Genomic DNA, 18877 nt, shown 5'->3' on the forward strand with positions numbered 1-18877 from the left:
TCTCACTGTCACCCAGGCTGGAGTGCAGTGGCACGATCTCGGCTCACTACAACCTCTGCCTCCCAGGTTCAAGCAATTCTCTTACCTCAGCCTCCCGAGTACCTGGGATTACAGGCACCTGCCACCACGCCCAGCTAATTTTTGCATTTTTAGTAGAGATGGGGTTTCACCACGTTGGCCACGCTAGTCTAGAACTCCTGACCTCAGGTGATCTGCCCACCTGGGCCTCCCAAAGTGCTGGGATTACAGGCATGAGCCACTGCGCCCATCCTAATTTTTGTATTTTCAGTAGAGATGAGTTTTCACCATGTTGGCCAGACTGGTCTCAAATTCCTGGCCTCAAGTGATCCACCCTCCTCAGCCTCCTAAAGTGCTGGTATTGCAGGTGTGAACCACCACGCCCGACCAGCTTTTTTTTAAATCTCAGCCTCCTCTAGGCTTTTGGACCCTGTCTCTGCATCTCTGGCAGGGCGAAGAGACAGTATACCGAAATGGCCAGGCCAGGCGCCTGTAACCTCAGAGCTTTGGGGAGCCGAGGTGGGAAGATGGCTTGTGCTCAGGAGTTTGAGATCAGCCTGGGCAACATAGCAAGAACTCATCTCTACAAAAAAATTTAAAAATTAGCCGGGCATGGTGGTGCATGCCTATGGTCCTAGCTACTCTGGAGGCCAAGGCGGGAGGATCACTTGAGCCTAGGAGGTGCAGGCTGCAGCAAGCTATGATCACACCACTGCACTCGAGACCAGGTGACAGAGCGGGCCCCTGTCTCTAAAAAATAAATAAAGTAAAATAAAATGGGCAACACTTGGATAGGGCAGTGCAGGCCAGACATTACCCTAAGCCATTTACCTATCAATGTATTATTTAATTCACACAGCAATCCTAGGGGTGGGTACTTTCATTATCCCCATTTTACAAAACAAGAAACAGCTACAGAGTTGCAAAACCACTTATCCCAAGCCAGGCCGCTGATAAGCAGCAGAGCTGGGATTGGAACCCCGGCAGTTAGGGCCTAACCACCCTGCTCCTCTGCTGAGTGTTTGTTGAATGACTGCCGGTGAGGAGTGACGCACCCCCTCTCCTCCTCTCCCCAGCCAAGCCCAAGAACCAAGCTGAGGCCCAGAAGGTCACGTTCAGCCAGGACCCTACGACAGTGGCCCTCTGCATCTCCAAAGAGGGCCGCCCACCTGCCCGGATCTCCTGGCTCTCATCCCTGGACTGGGAAGCCAAAGAGACTCAGGTGTCAGGGACCCTGGCCGGAACTGTCACTGTCACCAGCCGCTTCACCTTGGTGCCCTCGGGCCGAGCAGATGGTGTCACGGTCACCTGCAAAGTGGAGCATGAGAGCTTCGAGGAACCAGCCCTGATACCTGTGACCCTCTCTGTACGCTGTGAGTGTATCGGGGGTGACCCCTCCCCCATCAAAACTGCCTACACTGGCTTCTCTAAAGCACTGTCTACATTGTCTCTGAATGTTGTCTACGTGGGTTCCCTGAAGCCAAATTCTGCACTACCTTCCTGCCATTGTCTACACTGGCTCCCATGGGCAAATCTACATACTTCCCCCTCATTGTCTACATTGGCTTTACTGGGTTCCTGCATGCTGTGCCTAGTCTGTGGTAACCTGGGATGGGCTTGCAAGAGCCAGTTTGATACATTTCTTTCCAATTCCACATCCAATGAAGTCTTCTCGGTAGCTTGAAATCAACCTTGGGGAATATTTACACCAAGGAAATTGGCAAACCCTAGAAATGGGGGCTTCTTTTATTCCCCAGAGAGTTGGTTTACCAGCAAAGAGCTGCCCCCAACAGTGTCTTTTCTGGCTCCCATGGACCCCGGTTGACACTGCCCCTGGACCGTTAGATCAATCATGCTGGGCCATGTCCACATGTCTACATGTCTACACTGCCCAACCTAACATCGTCTCCACACCTTCCCATACTTCTGCCTTGACTTCCCTAGGTGCCATCTATACTGAGTCTCCCAGAGTCTCTACACCGACCCCTGATCCTTGATATTATTTACATTGTATTTATTATTTATTATTTATTATTATATTTTTATATATTATATATTATATAAAATATATAAATTATATATTATATATTAACATATATTTTGTCATTATTTATTATTGTTATTTAATATAATATAATTACATTATATTATATATTACATTACAGGCTCCACCCCCCGGGCCCTGTTGATCCTGACCCCTCCCACTGGGTTTTTTGCTAGCTCTTCCAGAAACTGCCTATACTCACACCTCGTAATGTTACCCAGAGAGGCCACCCTGGCACTCTTCACACAGAATCCCTCAAATACTGGCTTAACCACCTCTTCCACCACTGTCCAAAATGACCACATATCCCAACTCAATGTTGTCTACACTAGCTCCCCAGGCAATGCCTCCACTTACACAGATTCCCTAAGCCAAGTCTACACCAGCTCCCCCAGGCAACATGCATCACGTGCGCCCATAAGTGCAACAGCTCCCCTGAGCCTCGTCTGTGCCACTTTCCTCCCGGGACCTACACTGGTTGCCCAAACCCTGTTTTGACATCCTCCCTCCATGCCAAAAACACACACACAGGCCGGGTGCGGTGGCTCACACCTGCAATCCCAGCACTTTGGGAGGCCAAGGCGGGCAGATCACTTGAGGTCAGGAGTTCGGGACTAGCCTGGGCAACATGGTGAAACCCTGTCTGTACTAAAAATACCAAAATTAGCTGGACGTGGTGGTACATGCCTGTAATCCCAGCCATTTGGGAGGCTGAGGCGGAGGGATGGCTTGAGCCCAGGACGTGGAGTTTGCAGTAAACCAGGATCACCCCACTGCTCTCCATCCTGGGCAACAGAGCAAGATCCTGTCTCAAAAACACACACACACACACACACACATTATTTGTAGTGGCTCCCTTAGGCACTGCCAGCACTGAACAATAACTCCCACAAAATTATCCACAGTGGTTTCCCTGAACAGTGTCTACACTGACATCAGCACACAACAGCCTGGACTGATTTGCCCCAGACAGTTTTGACTGCTGTACCTCCTGCCAACCCGCCCCGTTTCTTTAGCATTCCTGTCTATCTGCTAACTTGTCCACCCGCTCTGGGATTCTCCTCCTTGCTGATCCAGTCCCCCCATTTCCCCCAGACCCTCCTGAAGTGTCCATCTCCGGCTATGATGACAACTGGTACCTCGGCCGTACTGATGCCACCCTGAGCTGTGACGTCCGCAGCAACCCAGAGCCCACGGGCTATGACTGGAGCACGTGAGTCACGTGGTCTCAGAACCCTGGGTCTGAGGGAGGCGGGGCTGGGGGCCTGGACTCCTGGATCTAAGGGAGGAGGGGCTGGGGGCCTGGACTCCTGGATCTGAGGGAGGAGGGGCTGGGCCTAAATTCCTAAGTCCTCCAGGATGAAGGGAGCTTGCATTTTGGCAATTTGGGGTCTCCGGGAGTACTTAGGTCCCTGGAGCTTGGCTCCTGGTGGGTGTATCTTTAGGGATGAGGCCTGTGCTCCCCTCTCGACCTTGGTATCCCTCTCACCTGACCCCACACCCCTCCAGGACCTCAGGCACCTTCCCGACCTCCGCAGTGGCCCAGGGCTCCCAGCTGGTCATCCACGCAGTGGACAGTCTGTTCAATACCACCTTCGTCTGCACAGTCACCAATGCCGTGGGCATGGGCCGCGCTGAGCAGGTCATCTTTGTCCGAGGTGAGTGGGTCTTGGGGGCCGTGTGTGGAGACCTGGGTCCGCTCCCCTGGAGTTCTGCCCTTCAGGACTTGGGGCTGCACTGGGGGAGGCTGCGCCGCCGACCTGGGAGGGATGCAGACCTGCCTGGCTGAGGGGAGATGAGGGTTGGCCTTCCCCTCGTGGCCTCAGACTGGGGTCTGGATTTGGGGTGTCGGGGTAGGTGAAGGCAGCAGAGTTGGGGGGTTGAGGACTTTGCTCGGGGTTCCTAGAAAGTAGAGGCCTGGGTAGGGTCCTCACGAATAGACCCGAGGAAGCTGCCCTGGGCTCCAGCTCCTGAGAAAGACGCACACCTAGAGTCAGGCATGCAAACTTCAAAGAGACAGAAACCAAGAGCTCCCACCCCCAGAAACACAATCCGGCCCCAAGGCACGGAGCCAAAGAGGAAAAGCACAAAGCCAGACCATCACCCAGTGATGGAAACTGGGTCAAACTCACAACTGCAGGGCCACACACCTAGAGCGCGGCCGGGACTGTTAACAGAGCCATGCTTCCTGGGACAGAGAGACCCCTGGGTCCTGGAGATAGGGCCAGAGACCCCTCCTGTCAGAGCCACAGCTGGCAGGATCCACAGCCACAGACACTCCCTGTGCTGAGAAATTCTGTTGCAGAGATGCATCAGAATCCAGACACTCACCTGGATGGTAACCCTGCACGCTCAAACCCATTGTCACCAAGACACACACCCAGGAGGACAGTGGCACCAGCCAAGATAGACTGAACGAAGCCAGATGACACCTGGAAAGGGACATTCTTTTTTTTTTTTTTTGAGATGGAGTCTCGCTCTGTCGCCCAGGCTGAAGTGTAGTGGCGCAATCTCAGCTCACCGCAACCTCCGCCTCCCGGGTTCAAGCAATTATCCTGCCTCAGCCTCCTGAGTAGCTGGGACTATATGCGCTCACCACCAAACCCGGCTAAGTTTTGTATTTTTAGTAGAGACAGGGTTTCACCATATTGGTCAGGCTGGTCTCGAACTGCTGACCTCAGGTGATCCACCCGCCTCGGCCTCACGAAGTGCTGGGATTATATGCATGAGCCACTGCGCCTGGCCAGAAAAAGACATTCTTAGAAACACGCCAGGGCGACGGTCCATGCAGCACACCTGTGCAAACACGCAATGTGCAGGCCCCCCAGAAACATGACTGAAGGTGTAGGGACAAACTCCCAGACAGGGGCTGTCCCTGTCATGCAGACAGACTAGCCACGGAGGGACAGAAGCAGACCCCCTTACTGAGTCATAATCTTAGAATGCACACACACTTGCAGGGACACCCGAGGGAAAACAGACACCTCTTCAGGAATCCAGATACAGCCAGGGAGATAGGACACCCCTACGGGAAACACTGTCACAGACAGCAAACCCAGAGAGACAGCTGTCCCGCTCTGGGCTCGCCTGGCGCGTGAGGATGCACATAAGTCCCCGGAGGAAGACGTCACACAGACACGCTGGGGGCAAAACTAATCCAGGACAGCAACGGCTGCACACGGAGGAATGTCATCCCTCACTCACAGACCCTCAGACGGAAAATCAAAGACATCCTGGGAGGAGCTTCTTCCCAGGAACCCTCCCGAAACTCCCCGAAACTCCTCCGAAATTATCCAGAAAGTCCGTTAGGGAGATTCTCATTCAACAAATATGTGTTTCCTGTTTGCTAGGCACTCTTGCTGAGGTTGGGAATACAATGGTGAATGAGCCACAGTCCCTGCCCTCAGTAGCACACCCAGGGGAGGGTCAGCTCCACCCGCCCAGACAGACACCGAACTGGAAATACACCCCTAACCTCTACCCCAGATACACCTGACAAGCTGATCCCCTGCCCACACACCCAGCAGGTGGCTCCAAGGTCAGAGCCTGCAGAACACAGACGCAATAGAGAAAGACTCAGCGCTGTGGAAAGACACCCCCACCTACCCACGACAGTGGCCACAGGGCCACCCCCAGCCAATAACACCATTACAAAGACACGTGCCTTCAGATAATGCCTGCAGAAACGTGCATGCTCCAAGCACTCTAGAAATCCCGTCTCAAGCAGTGAGTGCCCCGACAGCCACAGCCAGAGGAGACACACTCAAAGCTCCTGGGGTCACTCTCAGAGGGTCTCTGAGCCACGAACCCACATCCAGGCACACACAGAGTCGTCACAGAGACACAGTATGGAGTCCACAGCAGCACGAACATAGGATACGAACGCCGCACCACAGGACAGATCTATCTTTAGGGAGACTCAGAGAACTTTTTATTTTTAATAGAGACAGGGTCTCGCTATGTTGGCCAGGCTGGTCTTGAACTCCTGGCCTCAAAGCATTCCTCCAGCTTTGGCCTCCCAAAGTGCTGGGATTACAGGTATGAGCCAGCACACTAAGCCTGATTCAGAGCTTTGAACCCTAGACATATGAACAGACTCAGCTTCGAGTTCCAAAACACCAATGCCACCTCCAGAAACAGAGACAAGCCTCCCAAGATAGGCTCAACCTGGTCCAGTTAGTGACCAGCACAGGAGAAAAATCTGTTTCACTCCTCAACCCAGTGTATAGTTAGAGACATATATACCACCCTACCCCCTACCAAAAAAGATTTTATCCTCCTTTTTTTAATGCTATTTGTGAGTCACTAAGCTGATTTGACAGCCCGCTGGGTCATGACCCCCTGTTTGAAAACAACAGAAACAGATGTCCTTCCTGGGTCTCAGCCCCTCCTGTGTGTCGAGGTGTAGAGGTGGGGTCAGGTGTGGGTGAACCCCCCACCCCCGTCTGTCCCAGTTATGCCTTGCATGCAGGGATGGGGGAAGTGGATGTGGGTAGGTTCTGGTTACATTGACTTCTGTCCCTGGCTTGGGGCCCAGGAGCCCCATCCCTCCCTGCTCACACTGCCCTCCTCAGCACTTCATGGCTTCCTCTCTCTCTCCGCCTCCCCACTACCTCCCATCCCCCATCCCCACCTGCTCAGCCCCTGCAGGGAGCACTAAGGAAGTCCCACTGTCCCGGTCTGTGAGAACCCCATTTTACACACTGGGGATAAGTGGCCTAGAGATGAGGCAGCCACGGCACTTGGAATAAATGCTCCCAGCCACTCAAGAGGGCAGAATTATCAGGAATCTGTGGCCCTCTGCAGAGAGCTTTGGGATCAGACAGCCTCCCACTGAAACCCAGCTGTCCTCCCCCGAGGGGGTGTGGCCCCCAAGCTCATAGCTTTGTGAGGACCCCACAGCACATTCAGGGAGGGCTGCGAAGTCAGATGGCACCAGGGTCCTGGCCAGTGACCGGGCGGCCAGATCTATTGCATCCAAATAGCCAGCTTCCACTCGGCTACGGCGATCGCCAGACATGGGAGTTTGGTGTTGCTAGATCTGATTTGTCCCCCTAAGAGAAACCTGGATTTTTAAGTGAAATCGCCTGATTTTTGAAAGGTTGGCTAGCAATTTAAATTTTGCAAAACACTAACACCTGGGGACCACCGGTTGGCATCCCCCTCCTTGTACAAAGTGGTGCTCAGGCTGTAGCGAAGGGCGGAGGGGCTTCTGCTTCCCCACCCCCCTCCTCCTCCTCCTCCATTCTTCTGCCCAGAGTCACCCCCTCATTCTGGTCACTCCCGCTCCCTCCATCCCCGCCTATCCTGCATCTCCCCCACCCCCTCACTCCCCAGAGCGATCCTCGTGATCTTGTGTCTCCCTTTCTCTCTCTCTCACCCCTCCTTCTCTCTCTCCTCAGAAACCCCCAGGGCCTCGCCCCGAGATGTGGGCCCGCTGGTGTGGGGGGCCGTGGGGGGGACACTGCTGGTGCTGCTGCTTCTGGCTGGGGGGTCCTTGGCCTTCATCCTGCTGAGGGTGAGGAGGAGGAGGAAGAGCCCTGGAGGAGCAGGAGGAGGAGCCAGTGGCGACGGGGGATTCTACGATCCGAAAGCTCAGGTGTTGGGAAATGGGGACCCCGTCTTCTGGACACCAGTAGTCCCTGGTCCCATGGAACCAGATGGCAAGGATGAGGAGGAGGAGGAGGAGGAAGAGAAGGCAGAGAAAGGCCTCATGTTGCCTCCACCCCCAGCACTCGAGGATGACATGGAGTCCCAGCTGGACGGCTCCCTCATCTCACGGCGGGCAGTTTATGTGTGACCTGGACACAGACAGAGACAGAGCCAGGCCCGGCCCTCCCGCCCCCGACCTGACCACGCCGGCCTAGGGTTCCAGACTGGTTGGACTTGTTCGTCTGGACGACACTGGAGTGGAACACTGCCTCCCACTTTCTTGGGACTTGGAGGGAGGTGGAACAGCACACTGGACTTCTCCCGTCTCTAGGGCTGCATGGGGAGCCCGGGGAGCTGAGTAGTGGGGATCCAGAGAGGACCCCCGCCCCCAGAGACTTGGTTTTGGCTCCAGCCTTCCCCTGGCCCCGTGACACTCAGGAGTTAATAAATGCCTTGGAGGAAAACATCAGGGGTGTCTTGTAATACATCAGACCCCCTCCTTGCATGTTGGGGAAAGAGAGGGTGGGACAGGGACTCCTAGGTCCCAGGGCTGGGAAGAGCTGATCCACGCCCCCGGGGAACGAGAGCCTGGCAGGGGTTAGACTGGGGAAGGCTGTGGGGCTCGGACCACTTGGATCCTTGAAAGACGCATTGGATGGCCGAGAACCGCAAGGCTCGTGCAACTAGGATTCAGGTCACTGGATTGGGGACTCAGAGGCCTGGACATTTGGACTCCTGGGTCCCAGGACAGAGGCTGCCTTTCTGGATGGTGTGGCCAGACCCATCAGAGGCAGGAGTTCTCTGGACTCCTGGGCCCTCGGGTGGAGGTGGGGGTGGGGACAGCAGGGGCTCAGCCAGGTTCCCTGCGTCCTGAGAGAATGAGGCCAGAGGGCTGTGATCCAGTGGAGCCTCAGACCTCAACTCCCCCAGGTTGCTGGGGGTCTCGGGAGGGGAGGGCTGCTCCCCACTCCCATTCTTAGGGGCCCTGAGGGCATGGGGCAGGCGGGGGGTGCTGGGGAAGTCCCACCTCTGGCCACCCCGACTGTGGCTCCCCTCCTTCTCCATCCTTGCCCCCAGGGATCACCCCAGGGGACTTTTCAGTGGCTCCCTGGGAGTGGCGGCAGCTCCCTCCAGCTCCTCTCAACTGGAAAAGCAAAGACGGGGGGAGGGGCGGCCCTTGGTCCTTGAACTCCCAGGCTCAGTAAGGGACAGGTTTTTACCCGCGTCACCTCTGCTCTCCCAAGCCTCCATGCCTCCTCTGTAACACGGGGCAGGTGTTTCCATCGGCCTCACAAGGCTGTCGTGGGACCCAGTAAGGACATGCCCGTGATGCCCTCATGCAGCCTCATTGACCTCCACAGACCCCACCAAGCCCTGTGCCAGGCAGTGCTGGGGCTGCAGCTGTGGCCTGCACAGACCCAGTGCCGTCCTCCGGTGTGCACGGCCATAATGACCACAAGAATAGCAGCAGTATGTTTAGGATGAAGGTGTGTGTGTGGACCGAGGGGCAGTCTCTCTCTCTCACTCCCCCACCCTCTGAAGCCCTCCAGAGGATGCCAGGCTGTGGAACGGGAGCAGTGGAGATCCAACAGTCCAGCGTCCTCTGGAAGCTTCCTCCTCATCTGGAGAGTGAGGCCGATGCATGCGTGACCCCCACGGGCCCTTCCATACTTGTTACTTCCTCTGGTTGTTTGTTGTCTGTACTCACCCACCCACCCCACCCGGACAACCGGAGGGCAGGGGCGGGGAATTGGGTCCGCCTGGCACACAGTGGATCCTTCAGTGCCATGCTGAGTCCTCCTTACACACCCAGCAAACACCTACTGTGTGCCGAACCTCAGGCACACAGTCTAGTATGGAAATTGGCAAGTAAACGGGTAACCACTCCAAAAACTCTTCCATTAGGAAAGACTTGAGAAATGGAAACGGGAGGTGCTAGCAAGGAAGGAGAGGCCCAGGAGCAAACAGGCTTCTCGCTTCTCGACCCCTTTTCCTGTCTTGCCTTTTTTTTTTTTTTTTTTTTTTTTTTTTTTGAGACGGTGTCTAGCTCTGTTACCCAGGCTGGAGTGCAGTGGTACGATCTCGGCTCACTGCACCCTCCACCTCCCAAGTTCAAGCAATTCTCCTGTCTCAGCCTCTTGAGTAACGCACCCAGCCTTTTTTTTTTTAAGAAGTGGGGTGGTCTCCCTATATTACCCAGATTGGGCTCAAACTCCTGGGCTCAAGCGATCGATCCTCCCACTTCAGCCTCCAAAAGTGCTGGGATGACAGGTGTGAGTCACTGTGCCTGGCCCCTGGCTAATTTTTTTTTTTTTTTTTTAAGACGGAGTTTCACTCTTATCCAGGCTGGAGTGCAATGGCGCGATCTTGGCTCACGGCAACCTCCGCTTCCCAGGTTCAAGCAATTCTCCTGCCTCAGCCTCCTGAGTAGCTGGGATTACAGGCGCGCGCTAGCATGCCCAGCTAACATTTTGTATTTTTAGTAGAGACAGGGTTTCTCCATGTTGGTCAGGCTGGTCTCAAACTCCCAACCTCAGGTAATCCACCTGCCTCGGCCTCCCAAAGTGCTGGGATTACAGGCGTGAGCCAACGCGCCCGGCTAGCCCCCGGCTAATTTTTAAAATTTTTTCTAGAGATGAGGTCTTGTGCTCGTTGCCCTGGCTGGTCTTGAACAATCCGCCCGCCTCGCCCTCCCAAAGCGCTGGGATTACAGGCGTCAGTCACTGCCCCAAGCCCTAACCCCCTTCCTGATAAGTGGAAGGAGATTCTAGTCCCCAGAGGTGATTCTGGATCCCAGAATTCTGTCCCCGCATTCTCTGTCTTCTAGCCGCCCCTGGTCCTGTCTCCTCTCCTCTCATCTTCCCACTCTGCCCCGCCTCATTCTGCCCCAGCTACACAGTCTACTTGCTGTTCTTTAAAAACAATACAAGGCAGGCCGAGCACGGCATAATCCCAGAACGTTGGGAGGCCGAGGCGGGAGGATCACTTGAGCCCAGGAGTTCAAGACCAGCCTGGGCAACATGGCAAAACCCCATCTCTACAAAAAAATTCAAAAAAAAAAAAAAAAAGCTGGGCCTGGCGGCACATGCCTGTAGTTCCAGCCACTCCGGAGGGTGAGGTGGGAGGATCGCTTGAGCCCAGGAGATTGGGGCTACAGTTGGTGGTGATCATGCCACTGCACTCTAGCCTGGGTGACAAAGCGAGACCGTCTCAAAAAAAACCATAGAGCCCCACAAGCCTCCTGCAGGGCCGCTGGCTGTTTGCGCTGCCTGCGATACCCCCAGACACTCTCATGACTCATCCCCGGTGTCTCTTTCAGGCCCTTGCTCAGTTGTCACCTTACAGTAAGGTAGAGGCCCTCCCACTACCTTCGGGGACCCCACTTTGCACCTCCTATCACTTCCGCACTGTATATTTTTGTATCCCCCGTGACTTACTCCCATCTGGCATGTGAGCTATTGTACTGGTTTGCTTACTGTTGTTCTCCCTGCCCAACCAGAATCAAAGTTCCATGAAGGTAGACACTTTGTATGTTTTGTTCTCCACTCATCTCCCATGCGGGGCACACATCCTCGCTCCTTCCTCATGCTCAGCAGTTTGAGTTGAATGAAAGAATGTCCCCTGCCCATGGGAGAGGACATAGACAGGCAGGCGATGATGTGGGGTGGGATGGTCGCTTGGAATAAGGAGCTGTGGCTTCCTCCTGGAGACCCCCTCACGCTGTCCCTCTCCTTGCAGAGACCCCCAACACAGCAGGCGCAGGGGCCACAGGCGGCATCATCGGGGGCATCATCGCCGCCATCATTGCTACTGCTGTGGCTGCCACGGGCATCCTTATCTGCCGGCAGCAGCGGAAGGAGCAGACGCTGCAGGGGGCAGAGGAGGACGAAGAGTAAGTGATGGGCCCTGAGACGGGGATGGGAGAGGGGTCGAAGAACTGAGGAGTATGGGGTAGGGGTGAGGGTGGGAGAAAATTCTCCATAATGGCTGTGTGAAACAGACAGACCTAAAGGAACTGGGGTCTAAATGGAGTAGGGAGGTATGGGTTTCTCTCTGCTATAAAGTATGGCATTGAATTTAAAAATTAGCTGGGGGCCAGGCACAGTGGCTTACACCTGCCATCCCAGCACTTTTGGAGGCTGAGGTGGGGAGATCGATCGTTTGAGCCCAGGAATTTGAGCCCAGTCTGGGTAACATAGGAAGACTACCCCCATCTACAAAAAAAAAAAAAAAAAAAAAAAAATGGCCACGCAGGGTGGCTCTGACCGCTCCGCTCTGCAAAGACTCCTCGGAGCCCAGGATCCTACTACATTTTTTTTTTTTTTTTGTGACGGAGTCTCACTCTGTCACCGAGGCTGGAATACAGTGATGCAATCTCGGCTCACTGCAAGCTCTGCCTCCCAGGTTAAAGCAATTCTCCTGCCTCAGCCTCCGGAGTAGCTGGGAATACAGGCGCCCACCACCATGCCCAGCTAATTTTTTGGATTTTTAGTAGAGACAGGGTTTCACTGTGTTAGCCAGGATGGTCTCTATCTCCTGACCTTGGGATCCCCCCTCCTCAGACTCCAAAAGTGCTGGGATTACAGGCGTGAGCCACCATGGCTGGCCAGTTGTTAATAAAAGAAGAAAGGGCGGTTCCTAAATTGTTATGGAGAATTTACATTAAAATAACGTAAGCTATTGATTGGCTATCCATTGCTCTTTGTATCACAAATTCCAGAAACCTGAAGATAAAGAGTAACACTGGTCAGGCAGGGTGGGTCAGGCAGGGTGGCTCCTGCCTCTAATCCCAGCACTTTGTTTTGTTTTTGTTTTTGTTTAAGATGGAGTCTTGGTCTGTCGCCCTGGCTGGAGTGCCAAGGCGCCATCTCGGCTCACTGCAACCTCCGCCTCCCTGGTTCAAGCGATTCTCCAGCCTCAGCCTCTCGAGTAGCTGGGATTACAGATGCGCGCCACCACGCCCGGCTAATTTTTGTATTTTTAGTAGAGACGGAGTTTCACCATGTTGGCCAGGCTACTCTTGAACTCCTGACCTCAAGTGATCCACCCGCCTCGGCCTCCCAAAGTGCTAAGATCACAAGCATGAGCCACTGCGCCCAGCCAATGCCAGCACTTTGGAAGGCCAAGGCTCTTGTTGCTAGTGGTTCGAGACCAGACTGAACATCAAAGTGAGACACCATCTCTAAAAAAATAAAACAAACAAAATTAGCCAGGCAAAGTGGTGCACACCTGTGGTCCAGCTCCTCAGGAGGCTGGGGTGGGAGGTCACTTGAGCCCAGGAGCTCAAGTCTGCAATGAGCTATGATCATGCCACTGCACTCTAGCCCAGGTGACAGAGCAAGACCCTGTATCTTAAAAAATAAAAGACTGGGCACGGTGCCTCACACCTGTAATCCCAGCACTTTGGGAAGCCAACCCAAGTAGATAACTTGAGCTCAGGAGTTCGAGACCAGCCTGGGCAACATGGCGAAACCTGTCTACAAAAAAAATACAAAAATTACCCAGACCTGGTAGCCCATGCCTGTAGTCCCAGCTACTTGGGTGGGCTGAGGTGGGGGTGGGGGCATGTGGAGGCTGCAGTGAGCTATGATCACACCACTGTACTCCAGTCTGGCCAACAGAGTGAGACCTTGTAAAAAAAAAAAAAGAAAAGAAAAATAGCTCAGAGCAGTCTGAGGTATGCGAGCTATGCAAAATTTGTTTTTTTGAGACAGGATCTCACTCTGTCCCTCAGGCTAGAGTTCAGTGGTATAATCTGAGCTCACTGCAACCTTCGCCTCCTGAGCTCAACCAATCTTCCTACCGCAGCCTCCCAAGTAAATGGGACCACGTACCACCACACCTAGCTAGTTTTTGTATTTTTGTAGAGACAGGGTTTTGCCATGTTGCCCAGGCTGGTCTTGAACTCCTGACCTCAGGTGATCCACCCACCTCAGCCTCCCAAAGTGCTCGGATTACAGGCGTGAGCCACCATGCCCAGCCTGGAATCTGTATTTACCACAAGCTCTCTAAGTTTTTCTGATGCACAGGAAGGTCTGTTACACCACTGTCTTAATCATCTAGTTAGTTCAAACCAATAACTTGCTGCTGATCTCCTCTGTGTGCAGCTCCATGCTGTGACCCACTGTGTCCGAGACGGCCTGGAGCTCACAATATGGAGGAGGAGACAAAACTGTCTCCAGATAGTGATGGTGTAGCATGACCAGTGATGGGATAGGGCAGTTGAGCAAGCTCTGAGAAGCCAGAGGGGGCATCTGACCCAGGCTGGATGGTCAGGTAGGGCTTCCTGGAAGAGGGGACATCTGAGCTGACAGAATGCATCGTAAGCACCTGTCATTACTGTATGCTTTGGTCTGTGGGTGTGTAGAATGAGGGACAGGAACTTTAACCTAATTTGAGGGACAGGAAGGCACTTCATTTATTCATTCATTCTTTTCACAAATATTTACTGAACTCCTCATAGTGGATTCTGGAGACACCTTGCTGACGACCCAGATCTTTCTTTTTTTTCTTTTCTTTTCTTTTCTTTTTTTTTCTTTTTGAGGTGGAGTTTCGCTCTTTTTTCCCAGGCTGGAGTGCAATGGCGCGATCTCGGCTCACCACAACCTCCACCTCCCGGGTTCAAGCAATTCTCCTGCCTCAGCCTCCTGAGTAGCTGGGATTACAGGCATGCGCCACCACGCCCGGCTAATTTTGTATTTTTAGTAGGGACAGGGTTTCTCCATGTTGGTCAGGCTGGTCTCACACTCCTGACCTCAGGTGATCTGCCCACCTCGGCCTCCCAAAGTGCTGGGATTACAGGCGTGAGCCACCACGCCTGGCTGATCTTTCTTTCTTTTTTTTTTTTTTTTTTTTTTAATTTGAGATGGCATCTCACTCTATTGCACAGGCTGGAGTGGAGTGATCTCATCTCACTGCAACCTCTGCCTCCCGAGTTCAAGCGATTCTTGTGCCTCAGCCTCCTGAGTAGCTGGGATTACAGGCGTGCACCATCATGCCCAGCTAATTTTTGTATTTTTTGGGGAGATGGCATTTCACCATGTTGGCCAGGCTGGTCTCGAACTGCTGACCTCAGATGATCCGCCCGCCTCAGCCTCCCAAAGTGCTGGGATTACAGGCGTGAGCCACTGCCCCCAGCCCAACACAGATCTTTTTTCCCTCCCAGAGCTCACAGTGGGGCATGGTAATTATAAATAACATTTCAAGTACAAATTCAGTAAGTGCCCTGAGGGGGAAGTACAGCTAGGTATGTCCGTGTAACAGGAATTCCTGATCCACTGGGGAAACCTGAAGGCTTCCGGGAAAAAGAGGAATTCATGGAATGAATAAAAACTCTTACTCCAGGCAAGAAAAGGGGGCAGGGGAAAGGGAGACCCAGGTAGAGGGAACAGCATGTGCCATAACCCCGGAGTCAGAGGGATGCCTGGGTCTTAATCTCCACTTGTCCTACCTCCTACCCCACAGCCTGGAGGGACCTCCCTCCTACAAGCCACCGACCCCAAAAGCGAAGCTGGAGGCACAGGAGATGGTGAGCACTTTCCCTGGAGCCCAAGCTATCCCCACCTCCACACCCACCCCAGGGCTGGGAGGGGCCTGGCAGGGAGAAGCTGGCTGGGTGGTGGGGGCAGTTCCTGACCTCCCCGCCCCTCTCCCACTACAGCCCTCCCAGCTCTTCACTCTGGGGGCCTCGGAGCACAGCCCACTCAAGACCCCCTACTTTGATGCTGGCGCCTCATGCACTGAGCAGGTAGGAGCTCATGGGAAGACAAAGGTGGGTTGGGGGTCTGGGTTGAAGGGCCAGGGGTCAGGCCTGGCAAAAGAGGTCAAAGACTAAAGGTCATAACTCAAGGTCAAGGGTGTGTCCCCGGTTGGTGCTTAATGCATTGAGATGTGTTCAGGATTCCATGGGGGAGGTCAGGGGTGAAAAGGCCCAAGGTCACAAGGTTAGAATTTAAAGTCACTTGGGGGCTGGGCACGGTGGCTCACGCCTATAATCCCAGCACTTTGGGAGGCCAAGGCAGGAGGATCACTTGGGGTCAGGAGTTCGAGACCAGCCTGTGCAACATGGTGAAACCCCGTCTCTACTCAAAACACAAAAAATTAGTTGGGTGTGGTGGTGCGAGCCTGTAATCTTAGCTACCCGGGGCGCTGAGGAGGAAGAATCGCCTGAACCCAGGAGGCCGAGGTTACAGTGAGCTAAGATCACACCACTGCACTCCAGCCTGGGCAACAGAGCAAGATTCCGTCTCAAAAAAATAAATAAAACCAAATAAATAAAATCACCTGGGCCGGGCATGGTGGCTCTGGTCTATAATCCCAGTACTTTGGGAGGCCAAGGTAGCTGGACCCCTTGAGCCTAGGAGCTCGAGACCAGCGTGGGCAACATGGGCTACCCAGCAACATTTTGCGTCTACAAAAATACTGAATTTACCTGGATGTGGTGGCAAATGCCTGTAGGCTGAGGTGGGCGGATTGCTTAAGCCCAGGTGGTTGGGGCTGTGCCACTACACTCCAGCCTGGGCATCAGGGTGAGACCCTATCTCAAAAAAAAAAAAAAAGAGGAAAAGTCATTAGGTCAATGAAAATTGATTATCTGGTCAGGCATGGTGGCTCACACCTGTAATCCCAGCACTTTGGGAGGCTGAGACGGGCAGATCACCTGACGTCAGGAGTTCCAGACCACCCTGGCTAACAAGGTGAAACCCCTTCTCTACTAAAAACAAAAATAAGCCAGGCATGGGTGACATGCTCCTGTAATCCCAGCTATTCAGGAGGCTGAAGCAGGAGAATCGCTTGGACCCAGGAGGCAGAAGTTGCAATGAGCTGAGACCACGCCACTGCACTCCAGCCTAGGCAACAGAGCAAGACTCCGTCTCAAAAAAGAAAAAGGCCGGGTGCGGTTGCTCACGCCTGTAATCCCAGCACTTTGGGAGGCCAAGGCAGGTGGATCACCTGAGGTCAGGAGTTCCAAGACCAGCCTGGCCAACATGGTGAAACCCTGTCTCTACTAAAAATTACAAAAATTAGCTGGGCGTGGTGGCGGGCGCCTGTAATCCCAGCTACTTGGGAGGCTGAGGCAGGAGAATCGCTTGGACCCGGGAGGCAGAGGTTGCAGTGAGCCCAGATTGCACCATTGCACAACAGCCTGGGAGACAAGAGCAAAACTCCGTCTCAACAACAAAAAAAAACAGAATGAAAGAAAATTGATTATCTACATTTGCTGGATACTGTGCCTGAAGCTGGGACAAGACAAATCAAGTCACTCCCCTCAGTGGTCTACTGGAGGTCAGGGGTCAGACACTGAGGTTGCGCTCAAGGTTCAAAGGACTGTTTAGAGCCCAAGGTTAAGTATTTGAGGTCAAGACTGAGGTGAAAGGTTCATGGGGAAAGATTTGCAGAGATCGAGTGTCAAAAGTGAGTCCCAGGATTAACAGGGTGAGTTGCACGAGCTGGGCTTTGGGTTAAGGAAGGGCTGAATGAATGTCCCAGTGCAATATGGCCTCAGGGGACAAGGAGTGAGGTGGCATCTTGTTGGCATGGGGAGAGAGCGGTCAGGATTTTGGGGTCAAGAGCAGATTGGTAATCTGTGTCGTGCGTAGGAAGTGATCTTGAGTTCCTGTCCTCTCTCTACCTCCAGGAAATGCCTCGATACCATGAGCTGCCCACCTTGGAAGAACGGTCAGGACCCTTGCACCCTGGAGCCACAAGCCTGGGGTCCCCCATCCCGGTGCCTCCAGGGCCACCTGCTGTGGAAGACGTTTCCCTGGATCTAGAGGATGAGGAGGGGGAGGAGGAGGAAGAGTATCTGGACAAGATCAACCCCATCTATGATGCTCTGTCCTATAGCAGCCCCTCTGATTCCTACCAGGGCAAAGGCTTTGTCATGTCCCGGGCCATGTATGTGTGAGCTGCCATGCGCCTGGCGTCTCACATCTCACCTGTTGATCCCTTAGCTTTCTTGCCAAGGATCTAGTGCCCCCTGACCTCTGGCCAGGCCACTGTCAGTTAACACATATGCATTCCATTTGTGATGTCTACCTTGGTGGCTCCACTATGACCCCTAACCCATGAGCCCAGAGAAATTCACCGTGATAATGGAATCCTGGCAACCTTATCTCATGAGGCAGGAGGTGGGGAAGGTGCTTCTGCACAACCTCTGATCCCAAGGACTCCTCTCCCAGACTGTGACCTTAGACCATACCTCTCACCCCCCAATGCCTCGACTCCCCCAAAATCACAAAGAAGACCCTAGACCTATAATTTGTCTTCAGGTAGTAAATTCCCAATAGGTCTGCTGGAGTGGGCGCTGAGGGCTCCCTGCTGCTCAGACCTGAGCCCTCCAGGCAGCAGGGTCCCACTTACCCCCTCCCCACCCTGTTCCCCAAAGGTGGGAAAGAGGGGATTCCCCAGCCCAAGGCAGGGTTTTCCCAGCACCCTCCTGTAAGCAGAAGTCTCAGGGTCCAGACCCTTCCCTGAGCCCCCACCCCCACCCCAATTCCTGCCTACCAAGCAAGCAGCCCCAGCCTAGGGTCAGACAGGGTGAGCCTCATACAGACTGTGCCTTGATGGCCCCAGCCTTGGGAGAAGAATTTACTGTTAACCTGGAAGACTACTGAATCATTTTACCCTTGCCCAGTGGAATAGGACCTAAACATCCCCCTTCCGGGGAAAGTGGGTCATCTGAATTGGGGGTAGCAATTGATACTGTTTTGTAAACTACATTTCCTACAAAATATGAATTTATACTTTGACCAGGTCTTGCCTTTTCTGTGGGATGTGAAGGGGATGGGGTGAGACATGAAGGGGAATGAGGAAGGAGTCTAAGGGCTTGAGAGAATCAGTGAACTGGGGTCAAGAGAGTTAAAGACAAAAACAAAGGGACCAAAGATACAAAATAAGAATTGAGAGAGTAATGAGCAAAAATGTATCAATCAAAAACAAAATTTTTTTTTTTTTTGAGGCGGAGTCTCGCTCTGTCGCCCAGGCTGGAGTGCAGTGGCATGATCTCGGCTCACTGCAAGCTCCACCTTCTGAGTTAACGCCATTCCTCTGCCTCAGCCTCCCGAGTAGCTGGGACTACAGGCGCCCACCACCACGCCCGGCTTATTTTTTGTATTTTTAGTAGAGACGGGGTTTCACCGCGTTAGCCAAGATGGTCTCGAT

General features: G+C 53.6%; 1 protein-coding gene across 3 annotated transcripts in view, besides 5 other annotated features; it reads left to right on the top strand.

The window, feature by feature from the left end:
* The window catches only part of NECTIN2 (nectin cell adhesion molecule 2), a 42927-nt gene extending 24462 nt beyond the window's left edge, over positions 1-18465 (top strand). Inside the window, exons 3-9 of one of the 3 annotated variants that reach the window (NM_001042724.2) lie at positions 1095-1391; positions 3158-3275; positions 3572-3720; positions 11453-11606; positions 15179-15242; positions 15375-15461; positions 17352-18465. In NM_001042724.2, the coding sequence (NP_001036189.1) occupies positions 1095-1391; positions 3158-3275; positions 3572-3720; positions 11453-11606; positions 15179-15242; positions 15375-15461; positions 17352-17621 (1139 nt within the window). In that variant the 3' untranslated portion in view covers positions 17622-18465. Of the gene's footprint in view, positions 1-1094; positions 1392-3157; positions 3276-3571; positions 3721-7464; positions 8181-11452; positions 11607-15178; positions 15243-15374; positions 15462-17351 lie in introns of those variants that run through there. The other 2 variants (NM_002856.3, XM_047439169.1) reach the window with 2 other exon arrangements.
* Positions 8128-8977: an enhancer, noted in NCBI's record as "H3K27ac-H3K4me1 hESC enhancer chr19:45382143-45382992 (GRCh37/hg19 assembly coordinates)". NCBI's record gives its function as "activates a minimal SCP1, AML or CMV promoter by ChIP-STARR-seq in naive H9 embryonic stem cells {active_cell/tissue: H9 hESC(naive)}" and the evidence as "EXISTENCE:reporter gene assay evidence [ECO:0000049][PMID:30033119]".
* Positions 8978-9827: an enhancer, noted in NCBI's record as "H3K27ac-H3K4me1 hESC enhancer chr19:45382993-45383842 (GRCh37/hg19 assembly coordinates)". NCBI's record gives its function as "activates a minimal SCP1, AML or CMV promoter by ChIP-STARR-seq in naive H9 embryonic stem cells {active_cell/tissue: H9 hESC(naive)}" and the evidence as "EXISTENCE:reporter gene assay evidence [ECO:0000049][PMID:30033119]".
* Positions 9828-10677: an enhancer, noted in NCBI's record as "H3K27ac-H3K4me1 hESC enhancer chr19:45383843-45384692 (GRCh37/hg19 assembly coordinates)". NCBI's record gives its function as "activates a minimal SCP1, AML or CMV promoter by ChIP-STARR-seq in primed H9 embryonic stem cells {active_cell/tissue: H9 hESC(primed)}" and the evidence as "EXISTENCE:reporter gene assay evidence [ECO:0000049][PMID:30033119]".
* Positions 13992-14491: an enhancer, noted in NCBI's record as "H3K27ac hESC enhancer chr19:45388007-45388506 (GRCh37/hg19 assembly coordinates)". NCBI's record gives its function as "activates a minimal SCP1, AML or CMV promoter by ChIP-STARR-seq in naive H9 embryonic stem cells {active_cell/tissue: H9 hESC(naive)}" and the evidence as "EXISTENCE:reporter gene assay evidence [ECO:0000049][PMID:30033119]".
* Positions 14811-15311: an enhancer, noted in NCBI's record as "H3K27ac hESC enhancer chr19:45388826-45389326 (GRCh37/hg19 assembly coordinates)". NCBI's record gives its function as "activates a minimal SCP1, AML or CMV promoter by ChIP-STARR-seq in naive H9 embryonic stem cells {active_cell/tissue: H9 hESC(naive)}" and the evidence as "EXISTENCE:reporter gene assay evidence [ECO:0000049][PMID:30033119]".

Source organism: Homo sapiens, chromosome 19 (assembly GCF_000001405.40).
Source record: "Homo sapiens chromosome 19, GRCh38.p14 Primary Assembly".
NCBI lineage: Eukaryota > Metazoa > Chordata > Mammalia > Primates > Hominidae > Homo > Homo sapiens.